This window comes from Homo sapiens, chromosome 1 (genome assembly GCF_000001405.40).
Source record: "Homo sapiens chromosome 1, GRCh38.p14 Primary Assembly".
In the NCBI taxonomy this organism is placed as follows: domain Eukaryota; kingdom Metazoa; phylum Chordata; class Mammalia; order Primates; family Hominidae; genus Homo; species Homo sapiens.
In genome coordinates, this window is record NC_000001.11 from 233,421,368 (window position 1) to 233,443,601 (window position 22,234).

Genomic DNA, 22,234 nt, shown 5'->3' on the forward strand with positions numbered 1-22,234 from the left:
TCATTTTTTTCCTTTTAAGTTTTACATTTGACATTTAAGTCTATGATCCATGTTCAGTTACTTTTTTTATTAGCTATGAGACTTTGATCAGGGTTCTTTTTTTTTTTTCTTTTTGACTGTGAATGTGCACTTGCCCTTTGTGCCTTTGGCAAAAATTCATTTGGGAATATTTGTGCTGGTCTGTTTCTGAATTCTCTATTCTGTTCCATTCATTTATGTGTCTATCCTCCTTTAATATCACAGTCTTAATTACTGCAGATACATAATAAATCTTGAAATTGGGTAGACTGATTCCTCCAATGTTATTATTTTTCAAAATTGTTTTACTATTCAAATCCTTTTGCTTTTCATGTAAATTTTGGAATAATCTTGTCTCTATCTACAAAAAATCTTATTGAGTTTTGATAAAAATTTAATTAAATATGTATAACAATTTGGGGAGAACAGACATCAGTAAAGATGTTGAGTCTTTCAGTCCATGAAAATCCAACTCTTTCCATTTATTTAGTTCTTGATTTCTTCCATCAGCATGTCATAGTTTTCAACATACAAGTCCTGTATATATTTCACTAGATTTACATCAAAGTATTTCATTTTTCTGAGCAATTGTAAATTTTATTGTATTTATAATTTTGGTGTCCCTTTGTTTGTTCCTACTATATGGAAATGCAATTGATTTTGTATGTTTATCTTATAATTGTGTGATTTTGCTGAATTCACATATTAGACCTGGAAGGATTTTGTACATTTCTTGAGCTTTTCTACATGAATAATTAAATCATTTGCAAATAGAGACAGTTTTCATCTTTTATTTTATTTTTTCATCTTTTCCTGTTAGTATGCCTTTTATTTTTTTTTTTTTTCTTGCCGTATTACACTGGCCAGGACTTCCAGGACTATGTTGAAATAAGAAGGGTAGAAGCAGACATCCTTGCTTTGTTCCTACCCTTAGAGGAAAGCATTCGGTCTTTCACCATTAAGTATGGTATTAGCTTAGGTTTTACGTATATACTCTTTATCAGGTTGAGACAGCTCCACTTTAGTTCTGTATTGCTGAATTCAATTTGCTAATATTTAGAGTCTATAACCACAAGGAATATTAGTCTGCAGTTTTCTTTTGTTGCACTATCTTTGTCTGGTTTTGGTGTCAGGATAAAATTAGCTTCTTAAGATGGATTGGGAAGGTTTCCCTTCTCTTCTATTTTGTAAAAGAGTTTGTGTAGAATTAGTGTTAATTATTTAAATATTTGATAGAATTCTCTACAGAACCTATCTTGACTTAAAGATTTCCTTTGTAGGAGTTTACAATTATGAATTTCCTTAGTAATTATAGCATTGTTCAAATTGTTGATTTCATATTTAGCAAGCTGAATAAGTTGTGTGTACATGTTTAGAGATTTGTTAATTTTATCTAAGTTATAAAATTTATGTCTGTAGAATTTTTTGCAGCATTTGTCTTTTATCATTTCCATGCTTCAGGGCCTGTAGTTATATCCCTCATTTTGTTCTTGATTTTGGTAATTTGCATCCTCTCCCTCTCTTCCTATCTCTCTCAATCTCTCTCAGTCTTGGTAGGGGTTTGTCAACTTTATCTATCTTTTTAAAGAATTAGCTCTTTGTTCTTTGTTTTTCTCCCGGCTTCTCTGTTTTTAATTGCATTGATTTCTGCTTTTATCTTTATTATTTCTTTTCTTCTGCTCGATTTTTGTTTATTTTGCTCCTATTTTGTAGATTCTTGAGGTAGATTTAAATGATTGCTTTGAGACTTTTCCTCTTTCGGAATACATGTATTTTAGTGCTGAGACTCTCTTTCTCAGCACAAGTTGAGCTGCGTCCTACAAATTTTGATTTTCATTTTCATTCAGTTCAATGCATTTTTAATTTCTCTTGAAATTTCTTCTATGAATCATTTATTATTTAGAAGTATTTGTTTAGTTTCCAAGTGTTTGGAATTTTTCTATAATTTTTTTTGTAACAATTGTCTTAGTTCATTTGTGTTGCTATGAAGAAATATCTGAGACTGGGTAATTTATAAAGAAAAGAAGTTTATTTGGCTCACAGTTCTGTAGGATATACAAGAACTATGGTGCTCACCGTTCTGCAGGCTGCTTGTCCTCTGGTGAGGGTGTCAGGCTGCTTCCATTGTGGCAGAAGATGAAGAGGAGCCAGTGTGTGCAGAGGTTACATGGCAAGAGAAGAAGCAAGAGAGAGCTGTTAAAAAAAAAAAAAAAAGGACAAAAAAACAAAAACAAACAAACAAAAAAAACACAGCTCTCTTGGGAACTAACAGAGTGAGAATTCACTCACTGATGCAAGAAAGGCACCAAGCCATTCATAAGAGATCCACCGCCATGACCCTAACATCTCCCATTAGGTCCCACTTCCAACATTAGCGATCAAATTTTAACATGAGGTTTGAAGGAGTCAAACATCCAAACTAAAGTAACAATATATCAATAGATCAATAAATCAATTGATGTATTTATCAACAGGAAAATAATAGGTTTCTTATTTGATTCCATTGTGATCAGAGAACTTTTTTATTATTTTAATTCTTTTACAATTTTTGAGGTTTGTTTTATGGCTCAAGATACGATATATATTGGTATATGTTCCATGGGCAATTGAAAATAATGCATATTCTGTTGTTTTGGGTTGGAATATTCTGTAACTGTCAAGTAGAATTTATCTGTTGATGATTTTGTTGAATTTTTCTATGGTTGCTGATTTTCTGTTGCTGTTTTTAAATCAATTATAGAGGGAGGGACATTGAAGTCCCCATCTATACTTATAGATTTGTCTTTTTCTCCTTTCATTTCTATCAGTTTTTGCCTCACATATTTTGCAGTTCCATTGTTTGGTATATACACACTTAAGATTACTATGTCCAGTTGGTGCACTGATCCCTTTATCATTATATAATGTCTGTCTCTGCCTCTGGTAAATTTTTTTGCTCTGAAGTTAACTTAATCTGATTAGTATAGCCATTCCTACTTTCTTTTGATTAATGTTTGCATAATATACTTTTTTCCATCTTTTTGCTTTCAACCTACCTATATCTTTATACTTAAGGTGAGTTTCTTGTAGATAGTACGTAGTTGAGTCATGTTTTCTCATCCACATTACTAATATGTCTTCTAATGGTATACTTGACTATTTAATTTAAAGTAATTACTGGTATGTCAGGACTTAAGTTTGCCATGTTATTTTTTATTTTCCATTTCTACTTTTTCATGTAGTTAAATTTACATAACATAAACTTTATTATTTTTAAGTGTACAGTTCTATGGTATTGAGTACATTCACACTTTTGTGTAACTGCTACCACTATCCACCTCCAGAAATGTTTTATCTTCCCCAACTGAAACGCTACACCCATCAAAGATTAACCCCCATTCCTGAACCCCTTAGCCTCTGGCAACCCCCATTTTACTTTCAGTTTCTATGAATTTGATACTCTAGATATCTCAAGTAATTGGAATCATACAGTGTTTGCCCTTTTGTGACTGACTTATTTCACTTAGCATAACATCATCAAAATTCATCCGTGTTGTAGCATGTGTCAGCATTTTCTTTCTTTTTCTAAGGCTGAATTTCACTGTATGTGTGTATAACATTTTGTTTATCCCTCCATGTGTGGATGGACATGGATTGCTTCCCTCTCTTGGCTATTATGAGTACTGCTGCTATAAACATGCATGTACAAATATCTATTCTAGTCCCTGCTTTCAATTATTTCGGGTATATACTCAGAAATTGAATTGCTGGGTCATATGATAATTCCATGTTTGATTTTTTTTAGAAACTACCAAACCATTTTCCATAGTGACTGTACGCTCCTACATTCACATCAGCAATGCACACTTTTCCATATCCTTGTCAACTTATTTTCTGTTTTTTAAAACTAATAATCATCTTTCTGCTATTTTTTTGTTTCTCTAGTTTTCTTTTACCTGCTTTCTTATATGTTATTTGAATATTGTAAATAATTTCCTTTTTAATTATCTGTGGTGGTTTTGAGTGTATCCTTTTAACAGAGCTTATTTAGTGTTTGCTCCAGGTATTACACTGTATAATTTCTCATAGTCTACTGGTGTAGTCATTTTACCAGTTTGAGTAAAGTATAGAAAACTTTCCATACTTTACACATCTTTACTCTTCCCTGTTTATAATTGTTTTAAATATTTCCTCTATATTCATTTAGAACCTCATCAGATAGTGCCATTTTTTTCCCTTACAACTTCAAACATAATTCAGCTAACTAGAGGGAAGAATGAATATCTATCATATTTACCTATATTTTTGCTTACCACATTCTTTTTTCCTGCTGGTTGTCCTGATATGGAGCCGCAGGTTTTTCAGTGATGTTTAGCTAAAATAGGGTGGTTCTTGTCTAAAAGTATTCTAGCTTGATAGGCCCCTCCTTTCCTTCTTTTATTATTTTCTTTGGGTTTACATTATTTTCTTTAGCCATTCTTTTAGAGTAGATCAGTCAACAACAAATTCTGTTTGCTTTCATTTGAGAATGTCTTGATTTTCTGTCATTACTGAACATTATTTGGATATAAGATTCTGAGATTGCAGTTCTTTTCTGTCAGCACTTGCAGAAAAAATTGTGCCACTTCCTCCAGATCTCTAGTATATTTGATGAGGAATTGGCTAGCATTCAAATTGTTTTCACCTATAGGTAATGTATTGTTTTCTCTGATTTCTTTTGAGTTTTTCTTTGTCTTTGTTCTCAGATGTTTAATTATGGTGTCTTGACGTGTATTGGGTTTATCCTGTTGGTGTTTGCTTAGCTTCTGGGTCGGCAGGTTTATATCATTTGCAAAATTTGGGAGATTCTCAGCTATTATTTCTTTGAGAACTTTTTCAGCCTCACTTTCTTTCTTCTCTCTCAAATGGCAATGACATGAATGTTAGATCTTTTGTTATAGCCTTACCTAGCCCTGGGGCTCTTCATGTTTTGTTTTGTTTTGTTTTGTTTCCAGTCTATTTTCTCTCTGTATTTCAGATTGGGGAATTTCTGTTGTTTAACTTCCCATTCACTGATTCTTTCTTCTGTCCCCTCCATTCTGCTATTGATCCTATCCATGAGGTTTTTTTTGTTTTGAGACAGAGTTTCACTCTTGTTGCCCAGTGCAATGGCACATTCTCGGCTTACCACAACCTCCACCTCCCAGGTTCAAGCAATTCTCCTGCCTCAGCCTCCCAAGTAGCTAGGATTACAGGAATGTGCCACCACGCCCGGCTAATTTTGTATTTTTAGTAGAGACGGGGTTTCTCCATGTTGGATAGGTGGTCTCAAACTCCCAACCTCAGGTGATCTGCCCGCCTTGGCCTCCCAAAGTGCTGGGATTACAGGCATGAGCCACCACACCTGGCTGATCCTATCCATAAATTCTTAATTTTTTTATGTCTGTATGCTGCTGAAGAGTGTCTAATTTTGATCATTGCATTTTTCAGTCCTAAAATTCTCATTTGATTTTTCTCTATATGTTCTGTTTATTTGGTGAGACTTTCTGTTTCCTTGATGAGGCTCTGTTCTCTGTTTGTTCCAAACATATTTGTAATTATTTATGGAAACATTTCATGATGGCTGCTTTGTTAGATAATTTATCAGATTTGTTAATTTTGTAGAATCTGCTAGATAATATATTTATCAGATAATTCTAACATACCTGCCATCTTGTTTTTGGTATCTATTGATTCCCTTTTTTCCATTCAATTTCAGATCTTCCTGGTTTTCGGTAGAATGAGTGATATTTTTATTGATAATTAAACATTTTGGTTATTACATTGTGAGATTCTAGATCTTATTTATACCTTCTGTTTTAGCTGGTTTCTTCGGACACTGCTTTGACAGGGAAAGTGGGTCACCACCTTGTTATTGCCAAGTGGGAGTAGAAGTCTGTGTTCCCCCTTAGCCTCCTTTGATAGTTAAAAATCCTGACTCTTCACTAGGCCTCCCCTAATACCAGTCCAGCAGGAAGGAGAGGGGCATCACATTACTGTTGGGTGGGGGTAGATAGAAGTCCAGGCTTCCAACATGGTCTCCACTGACAACTGAAGACAACTTCATTACCACCTGATGGAGATAAAAGCTCTAGCTCCCTAATAAGCCTTCTCTGACACTATGGCAGTGGGGGAGTTGGGGACCCTCTTTATAACTGGGCAAGGGTAAAAGTCTGAACTCTCTGCTTGGCCTTTGCTGGTAGGGATGTGAGTGGAGGTACAGTTTTACCTGTGATACTTGTTGAAGTAGAGTGGTAGTTGTGTAAAAGTTTTCTGGTTTGCTAGATTCCCCTTTTCCTTGGCTTTTGTAGGAACTTTTGTGTCAGCATTTGATGGCAATTCCAGGTTGCTGGCTTCTTCATCTCTAGGTCTGGAGTATATAAAGCAAAAACAAAACGAAACAAAAACAGAAGATGAAGCAAACAACCCCAGGGAACTCACCATCATGTAATCATGTGATTCTTTGGATCTTAAGGTCCCTGGACAGACTGCCTCCTTTTTGTCATTGTTTAGAGTCTTCTGATATTTGTTTTATATATAACTCTTGGGGGGGGGTGGTTAGTGTATCTAGTAGGAGGAATAGGTAAAAGTACATCTACTCCATGGAAACCTCGGCTTAGTTTTAACATCTGTCAGTAGGTAAGAAGGTCTTCCCTCTTTCCTTCTTCTTCATAGGAAGTAAGAGCTGGCATGTTGAGATAGCAGCAAGAATGTGAGCTTAAGTCATGTGCCTCTTATGTTAGATAAGATAAACTTGAATAAGCCTCTTTTCCTCATTTCCTCTATGGTAAATCTTAAAAATAATATTTTAGTTGCAGCAGGGCATTAAACCAAGAGTTAAGGCTACAGGGGCCAAAGTAAATTTTTCCCATTTAACATTTCTACATTGGCAATTCAGAGTTTGTTGCAGGCAGCTTTTGAAATGAATCCCAACAACTCTCCCCTTGGAGTATTCATATCCTTATGCAATTCCCTACCCTTGAATGTGGGCTGGTCTTAGTGACTGACCTAGTGACTCCTCTAATAATAAAGAGCATAGGGCAAAAGTGATTGGATGTTGCTTCTTAGATTGGGTTACAAAAGACCATGTCCCCTTTTGCTTACTCTTTCTTGCCTTGCCCATGCTGATGGAAGCCAGCTGCTATATTGTGAGCTTCTCCGTGAACAGGACCACAAGACACAGAACTAAGGATGGCCTTGGATCAACAGCCAGTGAGGAATTGAGGCCCCACAGACCAACAATCCTAAAGGAACTAGTCCCGCCAACAACCACTTGTGTGGGCTCGGAATCAGGTCTACCCCAATTCAGGTGCGTGTTTCTTAAGGATTCCAGAATTCTAGCTACCTTGGGGCTTATCTGACTGAATCAACACAATGTCCACATGTACAACAACAATGTGACGTTCTGCAGGATGTCCAAATGGCCTGGATCTCATCTGACTATATTATGATGGAGGGTGGAAGAGTGAGCACAGCATTAGAGCAAAACTGTAAATGTCACATGCTGCAAATCAAATCTTAAACCAGAAGTCTGTATACATGTAGATATGTTTCTGAAGTCTAGTTTGTTCTATTTGTTTACCCTTCCACTAGTAAGAGTTAATTACTGTAGCTTAAAATAAGTTTTAATATCTTATAGGAATTATAAATTAGGTTTTGTTCTTTTTTTATTATTCTCAACTCTCTCTATTTTCATATAAATATTAGAATCAGCTTCCCAGTTTTGAGACACACACACACACACACATACACAAACACACACACGTTGTGGGATCTTTTAAAGTTGGGATTGCTTTGGATTTACATCAATTTGTGAATAGTTGACATCTTTACAACTTTGAGTCTTCTGATCTACAAACATAACAAGTTCCTATATTTATTTAAGTTTTCTTTAATTTCTATCAATGATGTTTGGAAGTTTTCAGTGTTGAGATTACGTCTATATATTCTTAGGCATTTGATGATATTTTATACTATTGTAAGTGGTATTTAAATTTCTTTCTTTTGTTATTGGTATGCAGAAATAGAATTGCTTTCTATATTGAATAAGAATACAATGATTTATTAACATCATTTGTAAACTATAATTATCTGTAGAATTTTTGGATATGCTATTAAAATGATCATGATAATATTTTTCATTTCCAGTATTTATTCTGTTACATATTTTTGTTGACTTGTTAAAGTCATTAATACTCCAGGACAATGTTGAATAGCAGTGGTGCAGATATGTAATCTTGTCTTGTTCCTGATCAAGGTGCAAAAGGTAGAAAAGTGAAAAGCTTTTAAAAACTCATCTTTATAGCCAGGCATGGTGGCTCATGCCTGTAATCCCAGCACTTTGGGAGGCTGAGGTGGGCAGGTCATCACTTGAGGTCGGGAGTTTGAGACCAGCCTGGCCAACATGGTGAAACCCCATCTCTACTAAAAATACGAAAATTAGCCAAGGGTGGTGGCAGGCGCCTGTAATCCCAGCTGCTCAGGAGGCTGAGACAGGAGAATCGCTTGAACCTGGGAGGCGGAGGTTGCAATGAGCTGAGATCGCACCACTGTACTCCAGCCTGAGCAACAGAGCAAGACTCTGTCTCAAAAACAAACAAACAAAAACAAAAAAAAACCTTCATTATTACAAATGATATTCACTGTAAGTTTTTGTTGATATCTTTGATCAGATTAAGGAATTTCCCTTCTTTTCCTAGTTTGATTCCAAAACAGGTGTTGTAGTTTACCAAAAGATTTTTTTATTTAAGATAAATGCACCATTTTTCCTCCTTTTTTTCTGTTAACGTGAAAATCACATTGATAGTTTTTTTTAATATTATACCATGTTTGCAACTTCAGAATAAACTAATTTGGTCATGATGTATTTTTCTTTTTATATAGCACTGGACTTGACTAGCTGATAGTTTATTTAAGATTTTTGCAACAATGTAAGTAAGGGTGATTGGTGTATAATTTTATTTTCAAATCCTTGTTAGGTTTTTAAAATTACAGTTTGTGTTGTTTTCTTAGCAAGACTGTTAATTTCAATCAGGTTAACCCAGCATTGTCATAAGCAGAAAACAAATAGCTCTGATATCTTCCATCTCCCAATAGCTAAAGCATAGCTCCATTACTTGAAGAAATTAACACATCCACTTATCCACAGATAAGTTACTTTTTATCCTTCAAATCATTAACATACAAAGATGGGTTTGTGGCATAATTTTTCCTCTTCTATACTCAATTATTGAGGTGACATTTTTATTCTAATAATTTTATTTTAATTTTACTCATCACTGTGATATTAAAGGAACTAGGAGTTGAAGACAAACCTTGGCAGGGTGTCGTCTATTAAATGCCTGCTTTAGTAGAGAATATTTATAAAAGTATCAAAATGAGAAACCAGAAAGCCTGTCTTTGTCTTAATGTTGATTTTTTTCTTTTCTTTTTTTTTTTTTAAACACCAAAAGCACTATTTAATGAGAGATTAGAATTCCATCACACCTGGCAGGGCACAGTGGCTCATGCCTGTAATCCCAGCCCTTTGGGAGGCTGAGGTAGGTGGATCACCTGAGGTCAGAAATTCGAGACAAGCCTGGCCAACATGGCGAAACCCTGTCTCTATTAAAAATACAAACATTAGCTGGATGTGGTGGTGTGTGCCTGTAATCCCAGCTACTTGGGAGACTGAGACAGGAGAATCCCTTATACCCAGGAGGCAGAGGTTGCAGTGAGCCGAGATCGTGCCACTGCACTCCAGCCTGAGCGACAGAGTGAGACTCTGTCTCGAAAACAAAAACAAAAACAAAAACAAAAACAAAAAACAGAATTCCATCACACCCACACTGTTGCTATCATAAAATGTTGCCACTGTAACATAAGACAAAAAAGAAAGGTGAGGTAGAAGAAAGCCAAGTGAGGAACAGTCTTGCCAAAGAAAATGTCTATGAAGAACTTTACAGAAGAATGTTATTGACCAGCAAGTCATAGAGGAAAGAAAAAACAAAGGGAAAGTTGGAGCGGCTGTTCACCAGCTGGTAAATGTTCCAAGTATTGATAACGTGCTGTGAATATCAGGGCTAGCTACAGAATTTTATTTTACATTTTGGGTAAGGAATTGTCTTACGTTTGATAATATATCGAAGCCCAAATTTCATTTATTTATTTATTTTTGACGGTTTTATAATCTTTATTAATGTTTTTTGTATGTTCGTTCATTTGTTTGTTGTTGTTGTTTGTTTGTTTGTTTGTTTTTGAGGCAAGGTCTCACTCTGTCATCCAGGTTGGAGTGCGGTGGCACAATCATGGCTCCTTGCAGCCTCAACCATCATGGGCTGAATTGATTCCCCCACCTCTGCCTCCTGAGTAGCTGGGACTACAGGTGCACACCACCATGCCTGGCTAATTTTTGTAGAGATGAGGTTTTTGCCATGTTGTCCAGGCTGGTATCAAATTCCTAGGCTGAAGTGATCCGCCTGTCTCAGCCTCCTGAAGTGCTGGATTATGCACATGAGTCACCGTGCCTGGAAAAAAAATCCAATTTTAGATTCATGGGGTACATGTGCAGGATTCTTATGTGGATATATTGCGTAATGGTGAGTTTTGGGCTTTTAGTGAACCATCTCCCAAATAGTGAACATTGTACCCAATGGGCCACTTTTTAACCCTGAGCCCCCTCCCACTTTCCCACTTCTAAAGTCCCCAGTATCTATTATCTCCATCTGCATATTCATTGTTTGCTCCCATTTATAAGTGAGAACACAGAGTATTTGATTTTCTGTTTCTGAGTTATTTCACTTAGGATAATAGCCTCCAGCCTCATCCATTGCTTCAAAGGACATGATTTCATTCTTTTTTATGGCTGCATAGTATTCCTTAGTGTATACATTTTCATTATCCAATCAACCATTGATGAACACTTAGGTTGATTCCATGACTTTGTTATTGTGAATAATGCTGCAATCAACTTATGATTGCAGGTATCTTTTGATAAAATGATTTCTTTTCCTTGGGTAGATACCCAGTAGTGGGATTCCTGGGCCAAATGATAGCTCTATTTTCAGTTCTTTGAGAAATCTCCATGCTGTTTTCCATAAGGGTTGAGCTAATTTACATTCCCACCAACAGCATGTAAGTGTTTCCATTTCTCTGTATCCTCACTGACATATTTATTTTTTGACCTTCTAATAATAGCCAATCTAACTGATATGAGATGGTGCTTTCTTGTACTTGTATTTGTATTTCTCTGGTGATTAGTGATGTTGAGCATTTTTTCATATATTTGTTGGCTGGTTGTATGTCTTCTTTTGAGAAGATCCTTTGCCCACTTTTTAATGAGGTTGTTTGTTTTTTTTTCTTGTTGATTTGTTTGAATTCCTTATAGATCCTGGATATTCGTCCTTTGTTAGAGGTATAGTTTGCAAATATTTTGTCCCATTCTGTATGGTGTCTATTTACTCTGTTGATGTTTCTTTTGCTGTACAGAAGCTCTTTAGTTTAATTAAGTTCCATTGCCTTTTTTTTTATTGTTGTTATTGCATGTACTTTTGAGGTCTTAGTCATAAGTTCTTTGCCTAGGCCAAACTCTAGGCCAAGAGTTTTCCCTAGGTTTTCTTTTAGAATTTTTATGGTTTCAGGACACACATTTAAGTCTTTAATCCATCTGGAGTTAATTTTTGTACATGGTGAGAGTTATGGGTCCAGTTTCATTCTTCTGCATATGAAAGCCCACATTTTGGCTGAGAATCAAGGTACTATGGTATTTCCTTGTCCCTGTTCCCAGTTTTTCCTTTCTTTAATTATCTAATTCTTGTATTTTTTTTTTTTTCACCGTAAGTAAAAGACTGTCAGAGCCCAAATATCACTAGTCTCTAATCCCTGGAAATCTGTGCTCATTCAGTCAGTGAACATCAGTTGTCAGCCAGGTCTGTGCTGGCTCCTCATGGAATGATAATAACACTTATTTGTCAATGCCAAGCACAATTTCTCCAGATCATCTGCAAAGCGTTTTATTAGAAAGTTTAAAATTGCCTGAAGTCTGCTATCACAAATAGGTGAGGCATTTATTAGCTGCCAAGATCTTCTTATTTGGGAATCACTGGGCTTTTGAAAAAGAGAAAAAATGTAGCAAATTGCCATGGCCCAATCTATGTTCCAATGTCTTAGAAGTTAAACCCTCCAGATGAGACAGCACTAACCAATTTCACTTATCAGTCTGGTCTGATGTCCTTATCCAAACAAATTCCTTCAAGCTTAGGTTATGCCACTTAAAATAAAGAGTCAATTCTATCAGCTAAAAGCCTATGATGCAGTAAAGTCTGCTTAATAGTTTAGTGTAGACATACTCATTATTACATGTGTAATTGCCTTTTGAAACCAGAAAACATGTCTTCACTGGTTTTTAATTCACATTCAAAAAACTCAAAATTCATAAAATAGATAAAAATCAAGTAGATAATCCTTTGCCTTACAAAAACATTAAGCTTTTGAGTTATTTTAAATAGATATATTTGCTTTTTGGTTTTGGATTGCATTAAAGATGTTAACCACTGACAGGAAGGCACAAGGCCACTGCAGCTTCCAGGGGGTGGAGAGTCAGAGAAGTTACTGCTAAGGGAAAGTTAATCAACATGACGACGTAACTGCCCAGATAGAGCTGATTTATCATGACAGGGGAATTGCAATAGAGAAAGAGTTTCGTTCATGCAGAGCCAGCTGAAAGGGAGACTGGAATTCTATTATTACTCAGTCTCTCTGAAATTTCGGAGCCTAGGGTTTTTCAAGGATAGTTTGGCAGGCCAGGGAGTCATGCACACAGGAGTGGAGGGGATGGGGGTGTGGTTGGTGGGGGTTAGTGGGTCCAGGTGGAGCCATTGGTCATCAGAAATGCAAAATCCGAAAAGACATCTCAAAAGCCCAATTCTAGGTTCTACAATAGTGATGTCATTTGCAGTAGTAATTGAGGAAGTTGCATATCCGTGACCTCTGGAATAATGACAGGTCATTGTTTATGTCTACACCTTAGCAGAATTCAGGCTCCTCTCATCCTCCTAGTCTGGTAGTCTCTCATTACAAAGGTGGCTGAATTTTGAGGAAGGGCTATTATCATTTAAACTGTAAACTAAATGTCTCCCAAAGTTAGCTTGGCCCAAGCCCAAGAATAATTAAGAGCAATTTGAAGGCTAAAGGCATAATGGGGATTGGTTAGGTCAGACCTCTTTCACTGCCATAATTTTCTCACTGTTATAATTTTTTTATTTTTATTTTTTGAGACAGAGTCTCACTGTTTCACCCAGGCTGGAGTGCAGTGGCACAATCATGGTTCACTGCAGCCTCGACCTCCTGGGCTCAATCAGTTCTCCCACCTCAGCCTCTTGAGGAGCAGGGACTACAGGCATGCGCCACCATGTCCAGCTAATTAAAAAAAATATATTTTATAGTGATGGGATCTCACTACATTGCCCAGGCTGGTCTTGAACTCCTAGACTCAAGCAATTCTTCTGCCTGGGCCTCCCAAAGTTTTAGGATTACAGGCATGAGCCACTGCACCCAGTCTGTTACAGTTTTTGCAAAGGCAGTTTCAAAGATAGAGCAGACCCAAAATCAACTCTTAGGTATATGATGATAAATTTATAATAATAATGGTAACAATGAACCTTCCTAAAACACAATCTGATCCTGTATCCCTTTGATTTAAAACATATTAGTGTCTTCTATCAGTTACAGAATTTGGCAGTAGTTCCATTGGCTTGGTGTGGAGCGCCTTCATTAGTGGCGGCCGGGGTTTCGAGCCATGCCTTCCACTGCTTTCTTATTCCCCCACATTTCCAACTTGTGGCTCCCTCAAATTGCAATGCGGTTTCGTACCTCTGACTATTGCACAGACTCTCACATCTGCCTGGGCCGCCTCTCCTAACTTTCCTTCATCTCATGTCTCTGTCTCTTCCCTCCTCTACTGCTAAAGTACATCTTGTTCTCATGGTAAACTCCTACACATTGTAGCCAGTTGTTCTATCTTTTGTAAGCACCCAATATATGTTTGTTGGATTAACATAAAAAGGCACACAAGTGAATCAATCCCAATTGTATAAACTCTCATAGTCCTGAATTTAAAATTCTCATAACTAGGTATTTAAAACTGAAGTCTAATTTAGAGCCTTCAATAAAAAATAATGAAATAAATGTAATTTAATACTGTGTTTTCAGAGCTTATTTGAATTTTCCACAGCAAACCTCTTAAAATGTCTTATTTTGTTAATTGGGGAAGTCAGGCTACCAAGCCCACTATGATTTACTGAAATGCTCCAATTTTATGGCTTTCTCAATACTGACTAGACTCTTTTTTTCTCTTTTTTTAAATACCATCAATTACATAAATCTAGACCTGAGTGAGCTTGGAAAATTTCCAGGCATATCAACCATCTGGCTTTACTATATACAGTTCCAGAATCTTGGGAAGATTGAAGAGAATGTAAAATAGGGTCACTTCCCAGTAATTTCAAGTTGAGCTGAATCAAGGAGGATAATGCTGTCTTCTTGACCTTGCTCCCTGTGGGTAATTCATAATATGCTGTGCTGGTGATGACCCAAGACTATTTGGAATCCAATATTTCAAGGAATGCGGTTTGAACAATAAGTATATCAGTGCTTCTCTCAGAAAGAGAGAAGGGGAGTAGTGATTAAAAAAATCGTTTGTAAAAGAAGAGGGAGAGAAATGAAGACATGCAGGTGGAGATGCTGTAGATCTTATTGCCTACCTAAATTTATATTTTTAAATTAAATTTAATTTAATTTAATTTTGAGATGGAGTCTTGCTCTGTCGCCAGGCTGGAGTGCAGTGGCGCTATCTCGGCTCACTGCAACCTTTGCCTCCCGGGTTCAAGCGATTCTCCTGCCTCAGCCTCCAGAGTAGATGGGACTACAGGCACCTGCCACCACGCCCACCTGGTTTTTGTAGTTTTAGTAGAGACGGGTTTTCACCATGTTAGCCAGGATGGTCTTGATCTCCTGACCTCATAATCCGCCCTCCTCTGCCTCCCAAAGTGCTGGGATTAAAGGCGTAAGCCACTGTGCCCAGCCCCTAAATTTCTATTCTAAAAGCAACCAGATCAACGGCAGCAGTCCTGTACTTGAGTAACCAAACAAAGAGATCATTTTAGATTAGTAGCATCACAAGCAGCTTGATTAACTCACGGTTTGACTTGGTGAAGGTAAAGGTATGTTTCCTTCTATTACATATCTCTTTGGTATTTCCAGATTACTCTATGCTATAAGTGTTATCCATTCATTGTTTCAGTTGGCTGAGCTGTAAAACTTGATGAGATCAGGAATTTGTTCACTCTGGTACCTCCAGCAACTAGCACAGTATTTGGTATATGGTAGGCATTCAGTAAATATCAGTGGGATTAATTGGTGTTTATATGATGTCACGTTATAGTTTTGTCTCTCTCATTTGCTACTGTATCTCTAGCACCTAAAACATCATCAGCAGGTTTGAAGTTCTCAATAAATATTTCTTTCTCCTTTTTTTTGAGACAGAGTTTTACTCTTGTTGCCCAGGCTGGAGTGCAATGGCAGGATATCAGCTCACTGCAACCTCTGCCTCCTGGGTTCAAGCAATTCTCCTGCCTCCGCCTCCCAAGTAGCTGGGATTACAGGCATGTGCCACCATGACTGGCTAATTTTTGTATTTTTAGTAGAGACAGGGTTTCTCCATGTTGGTCAGGCTGGTCTCGAACTCCTGACCTCAGGTGATTCGCCTGCCTTGGCCTCCCAAAGTGCTGGGATTACAGGCGTGAGCCACCGCACCCAGCCGATGTTCTCAAGAAATATTTCACAGGTGAGTGAGTACCTATATTAGACATGGTCCTCTCCACCCGTCATCTTTGAAACAAAGACATAATGCACGTGCCTAACACAGTGCCTGGTACATAAGAGCTACTTGCCATGTGTGTTTCTTCTTGCCAGCTTTGAAAAGCAAATGCAGGTGGCCAGGTAGGAAAAAATAAATAAATAAAACTCTTTCTTATTAGCATATGGCAGACTCTTGGAGGGAAATGGCTTCCATCAAACAAATAGGACACTTATCACCTAAGAGAAAGATCTGTGTTAATAAGACCCTTAAAATTTTTATTGATATTGGATGTTTACAATGATAGAATGGGGAGCTGAAAACACCCTAGGAGATGATGTAGTCCATTCCCTCCTTATGTAATCCATGAGAAAATGAAGGCCCTTGGGAGTGAAGCAACTAGCCACAAGTTCACACTGATGGCTGAGCAGGAGACAAAATGCAGGTCTCCTGTCCTCTAATCTGGGGTTCTTCCCATGATACCAAATTGCTCTAATACTAACTTACATAAAGTAGAAAGAAAAAGGCCTTCTTATCACCCATGTACTACATCACTTATCACCTACATAGATGATTCTTACCTAGATATATTTTCCCCTAAAAACCAAGAGAAAAGGACATTACTTCTAAATGTTTTTTTAATGTGAGTTGTTTTTGGAAGAAATTCGAGAGAGGAAGATAGCTGTGTGATCAACTTATATCTCACATGATTACAGATTTTAGCATGATCTCAAAGGTGAAGCATTTAATAATTAGCGGTCCCGAAGCTCTATCTCCAGCATATAAGGTGCTAGTTATCTGATGAGGCTAAAATTTGTACTTTTCTTTAAATATTGTATTAGTCCATTTCCACACTGTTGATAAAGACAAACCTAAGACTGGTAATTCATAAAGAAAAAGAGGTTTAATGGACTCATGGTTCCATATGGCTGGGGAGGCCTCACACTCATGGCAAAAGGTGAAAGGCACTTCTCACACGGCGTGGGCAAGAGAGAGAATGAGAGCCAAGTGAAAGGGGTTTCTCCTTATAAAACCATCAAATCTCGTGAGACTTCACTACCACGAGAACAGTATGGGGAATATCGCCCCCATAATTCAATTATCTCCCACTGGGTCCCTCCCACAACACATAGGAATTATGGGAGCTACAATTCAAGATGAGATTTGGGTGGGGACAGAGCCAAGCCATATCAAACATCCACAAGGGAGCCTGAGGTATGAGAATTGTTTTAGAGCAGAGAACCTCACTTAGGAGTAGGTAGGCAAATGATCTTCAAAGGATTGTAAGCCACTGCCAGGGGAGGGTTAGCCCCAAAAGCTGATAATGTATTTCTGAAATTATGCTTATTGGAGGCAGAGAAGAGTCTTAATAACAGTGAGTTTTCTGGAGTAGGAAAGACTGGAGTCTGAATTCCAGCTCTATGTCATTTACTACTTTATCTTGGGCAATATTTAAAAGCTTCAAAGCTCAAATTTCCAAAATTTTTAAGTGAGTATGATAATAACAAAAATTTGTATGAAGTATTCATCACAGCGCTGGGCATTATTGAGGATAAATTGTTGAAAATTTTAGTTGCAAAATATTCCATATGCATAGAAATTTCTAGGAAAAGACCTATTCAGTCAAGTCAAGTTCCACTCAGCAGGAACTAAATTATACATGATCTCCTGGAAGGTAAGGAGCCCTAGAAACTGAGTTTCTGTGTGTAGATGGCTCAACCTGTTGCTGAACACACAGCAGGTGATTTAAGGACAATTACTGATGTCATGCGTTCCTCTTATCTTTTCCTCCACAAAACTCTAGTCTCTATCACAAGCAGAATGGACCTCAAGCTCCTTAATTTGACCTTCTAGACTGGCCTCTTCTGACCTTACCTTTGTTTCTTTAATGTCCTTGGAGAGCGTCATGTGTAAAAGCCTCATCTTCCAGGAGTCCTTCTCTACCAGATAAGGGATGAGAAGGTATCATTTCCTCTCAGAATCTCAGCACCTCTGGATCTGCACGTTCTCCAGTGCCCTCATGGGTGGGAAACATGGCTATATATATATATTTTGAGACAAGGTCTCACTCTGTTGCCCAGGCTGGAGTGCAGTGATGCAATCATGGCTCACTGCAGCCTTAACATCCTGAGATCAAGTGATCCTCTCACCTCAGCCTCTCGAGTAGCTGGTTCTACAGGAATGTGCCACCACACCTGGCTAATTAAAAAATTTTTTTTTGTAGAGATGGGGTCTCACTATATTGCCCAGGCTGGTCTCAAACTCCTAAGCTCAAGTGATGCTCCCACCTCAGCCTCCCAAAGTGTTAGGATTACAGGCGTGAGCCACCATGCCGGGCCAGGGCTGTATTTTAAGTACAGTCTCATTTTACTACAGTTAACTTTTCTTTTTAAAAATATGTATATTCCATCTATTACCTGCCATGCCTAAGTAGAAGCTACACATCTCAGGAAGCAGCTCACAGGCCCATGAACATTGAAGAGCTCTGTCCTTGCCTTCTGAGCACAGCTGCCAGAAAGGGGAGGGAAAAGAGAAGAAATTCAGTGTCCTATTTTTTGGGATTCTGAAGAAAAATTCCTGGGAAACCCACTTAATGCTGAATATTCTTGGAAAGGGCATCAATGAGTCATATTCACAACATCTGAAGAAAAACTGTTCCGTGAATCCAAAGAATGTACAAGTTGGTCAGAAGGCAAAAGAAAATAAGCATCTAATTTTCACAGATGCTTCATCGGGATGTGTTCCCAGGGGAAATTCCTGGGATTGGACCTGGGCACAATGGGCCATACGTGGTTTGTTTTATTTTTGTGTGTGCTTTTTGTTTGTTTCTTGGGACAGAATCTTGTTCTGTTGCCCATGCTGGAGTGCAGTGGTGCAGTCATAGCTCATTGTAAACTTAAATTCCCGGGCTTAAGCGATTCTCCAGCCTCAGCCTCCGGAGTAACTAGGACTACAGGCATGAGCCACCACACCTGACCAGTTTTTTAAAATTTTTTATAGAGATAGGGTCTCACTATGTTGCCCAGGCTGATCTCCAAGTCCTGGCCTCAAGCGATCCTCCTGCCTCGGCCTCCCAAAGCACTGGGATTACACGTGTGAGCCACTGCACCTGGCCTGTTTTATGTACGTTTTTACTTCCCGACTTTCCACTTCTGTCTCAGAGAACCTGAAAACCAACATTGGCTTAATATCTTTGTTCCCACAAGAAAGAAGCTAATAAATGAGTCTCGGTTGTTTAGGGATTTAAAGCTAAGTCAAGCTTTAAATGGTAGTGGTCTTGCTGGGCACGGTGGCTCATGCCTGTAATCCTAGCACTTTGGGAGGCTGAGGCAGGTGGATTATTTGAGATCAGGAGTTCAAGACCAGCCTGGCCAGCATGGTGAAACCCCATCTCTACTAAAAATACAAAAATTAGCCGGGCAGTAGTGGTGTGCACCTGTAATCCCAGCTACTAGGGAGGCTGAGGCAGGAGAATTGCTTGAGCCTGGGAGGCAGAGGTTGCAGTGAACTGAGATTGCGCCACTGCACTTCAGTCAGGGCGACAGAGTGAGACCCTGTCTCAAAAAAAAAAAAAAAAAGGGTAGTGGTCCTAACAGTAACCCCTACACCCTTTTCCATACGCACACAGGTTGCTTGATGTCTGATCTCAGGGATAAAGACTGTGGACAAAGGCAACTCTAACCCTCTAACTCTTCTCTCTCTCCTTCTCTTTCCTTGAAAAGCAGCTAAACCTTTCTCACTGCTCTGATAACTCACATAACTCCGATAACAGAGAAATTGGGTTTTTCCGAAACCAAGACTTTTAGATGTGGTCTATAGATGTCGCTGTTGGACTCATCTTAGCGGGTTTCTCTGCTTAAATGCAAGGTTTCCTGTGCTTCCTTGAAACAAGAGTTGTGGAAGGAATGGCGCCTTTGGCCTCAAGGCTAAGAGCTCTGCTGAATGCTTGCTTCGGAAAGGCTTTTCTCGGGAGGCTGACGTGAGCTTGTGATGAAGGCAAGAATTAGGTTTCTTTCAGTCCATGCTTCCTTAATTTAAAACAAGCTTGGCCCCTGCTGAACTTTCTGGTCTCTCACCCTCTGGGGCTAGAGGAATTACTGTGCAGTTCTCTTAATATGGAAGACCCTCTCTTGCCTCTAGGCCTTCGCCCCTGCTGTTCTCTCTGTGGGGCACCCCTCCTTCCTTTCCCCTGGATGACTCTTGATTGTCTTTTAGTACAAGTGCTCAAAGTATGGTGCACACACCAGCTGCTGGCCAGGACCCTTTGTTACTGGTTTACGACAAGATGAGCTTGTGTCAGAACCTAAGTGAACTAAATCTCTAAGCAGACCATTTATTTCAGTTCGTTCTCTTTTTTAGTGAGATTCTCTTGAAGAAGGAAGCAGTGTACTGATTTACGTTTTGACACAAGCTCTTGTCACAGCCTGGCACTTTCAGTGAGTCTGCCTTAGTACAGGGCTGAAACACTCTCCTCTGGGAAACCTTGCCCAGTCCTCCCTCGACCCTTCCACCTTGACTATGTTTGTACCCTCATCAAAACACCTGGCACACGGTTTTGGTAACTGTCTGTTTTCCCAAGGAGTTTAGAAGCATCTTTACATCATGGGTCAATTAGCTGCTGAATGGGCGGATGAATACATTTTCAATATCTTAAATTCAGATAATTTATTTAGTATAGGGTGAGAATTGTTCATGTTTTATGCAGTTTTGAATATTGTACTGTCTTCCTAATGTGGTAAAACTGGAGTCAGGTTTCTGAGATAGAATAGAGGTAGTTCTTTAAATTCATAACCCTTTCCACAAATACCATACAGAAGCTGGAAGGTTAAATCACGTTCACTTGAAAAGGAGACACCTACTTATTACCACCATTTTAAGTTGTAAATATGGTTGAACGTGGTGTCCAGGATGCTGGCTGTCTTATCCTAGTTCTTGGCTCTCTCCCATCTGTCTGCCTAGCTCAGCCAATTCTTCCCTCAGGGCTGTGAAAGGAGGTTAAGCGGGAGCAGAGGTTTTATCCTCCCTTAATGTTTCCAGAACATTCCTGGTTTCTTACTAAAGCCTGGATTTCCTTAAAAAAATCTGGAGTTTTGGGGGATGTACCAGGGACTTGCCAGAAGCTATCATTTCAAGAATGTGTTTGCTTTTCCCATTTTTTCCTTCCCTTGCTGGTGATAAGCCCCCCCGCTTCTCTAAGACAGTAGGTCACCCCGAGCCCCAGGTTTCAGAATGGTAACACACTCACTACCCGTTCTGTCAAAGCAGTATCTCCCCACCAAAACCAAAGTGGGTGAAAGAACATGAAAACTCCCCAAGAGAAAAACATCCATGGCTATAAAGAGGTCCTGATTCATCACATTCCTTAACCTCTGTCTCTTCACACAAATCTACGTGCTCATTTCTTCCTCCATGCTGTGTATATTCATCCAAATACTGTGTACGTGTCCATGTGCATGTGCCAGAATGCTTTAGATAAATACTACAGGTGCAGCCACAAAAATTGTTTTAATATTAACTCTCACTATCCCTGACCCTGGTTCACTACTAAGCATTTTTTTTTTTTTTTTTTCTTTTTTTTGAGGCAGGGTCTCACTCTGTCGCCCAGGCTGGAGCACAGTGGCGTGATCTTGGCTCACTGCAAGCTCCACCTCCCAGGTTCATGCCATTCTCCCGCCTCGGCCTCCCAAGTAGCTGGGACTACAGGTGCCCACCACCACGCCAGGCTAATTTTTTGTATTTTTAGTAGAGACAGGGTTTCACTGTGTTAGCCAGGATGGTCTCGATCTCCTGACCTTGTGATCCACCCGCCTTGGACTCCCAAAGTGCTGGGATTACAGGTGTGAGCCACCGCACCTGGCCACTACTAAGCATTTTAAGGCTAAAATAATCAGAAGAAAACTTGAGATGGTTGCTCTAGCATGTTAAGTGCTTCCTGGGTGGTGTTTCACTCTGCATTACATGACTAATTCAATAAATTTAATTTTCTATTCCAAGTTCCTCAGAGGAAACTCGCTTTCCTTCAGAATCAGCCTTCCAGCCAGGAGGATCCTGGATTAAAGTCAAAAATATGACTCAGTTGTTGGCAGCCTTTGAACTATTGCCAGAGGAGACTTTCATTAGCAACAATTATACAAATCTGACATTTACAAAGGGATTCAAAAATGCATAAAGTAGTTCCATTTCTATGACTTCACCTGATCCTTCAAAAGAGCATACATTTTCATCATTTTAAGAATGAAGAATTTGAGGCTCAGAGATTTCAGGTATTTAGCCCCAAATCTCACAGACAGTAAGTGGCTAGTCAGGACTTAATGGCACACATGCTGACTCTGGTTCTGGTGTCTTCCTCCCATGCCTTTGGCCTAGTGAAAGGCCATGAGAGGCAGC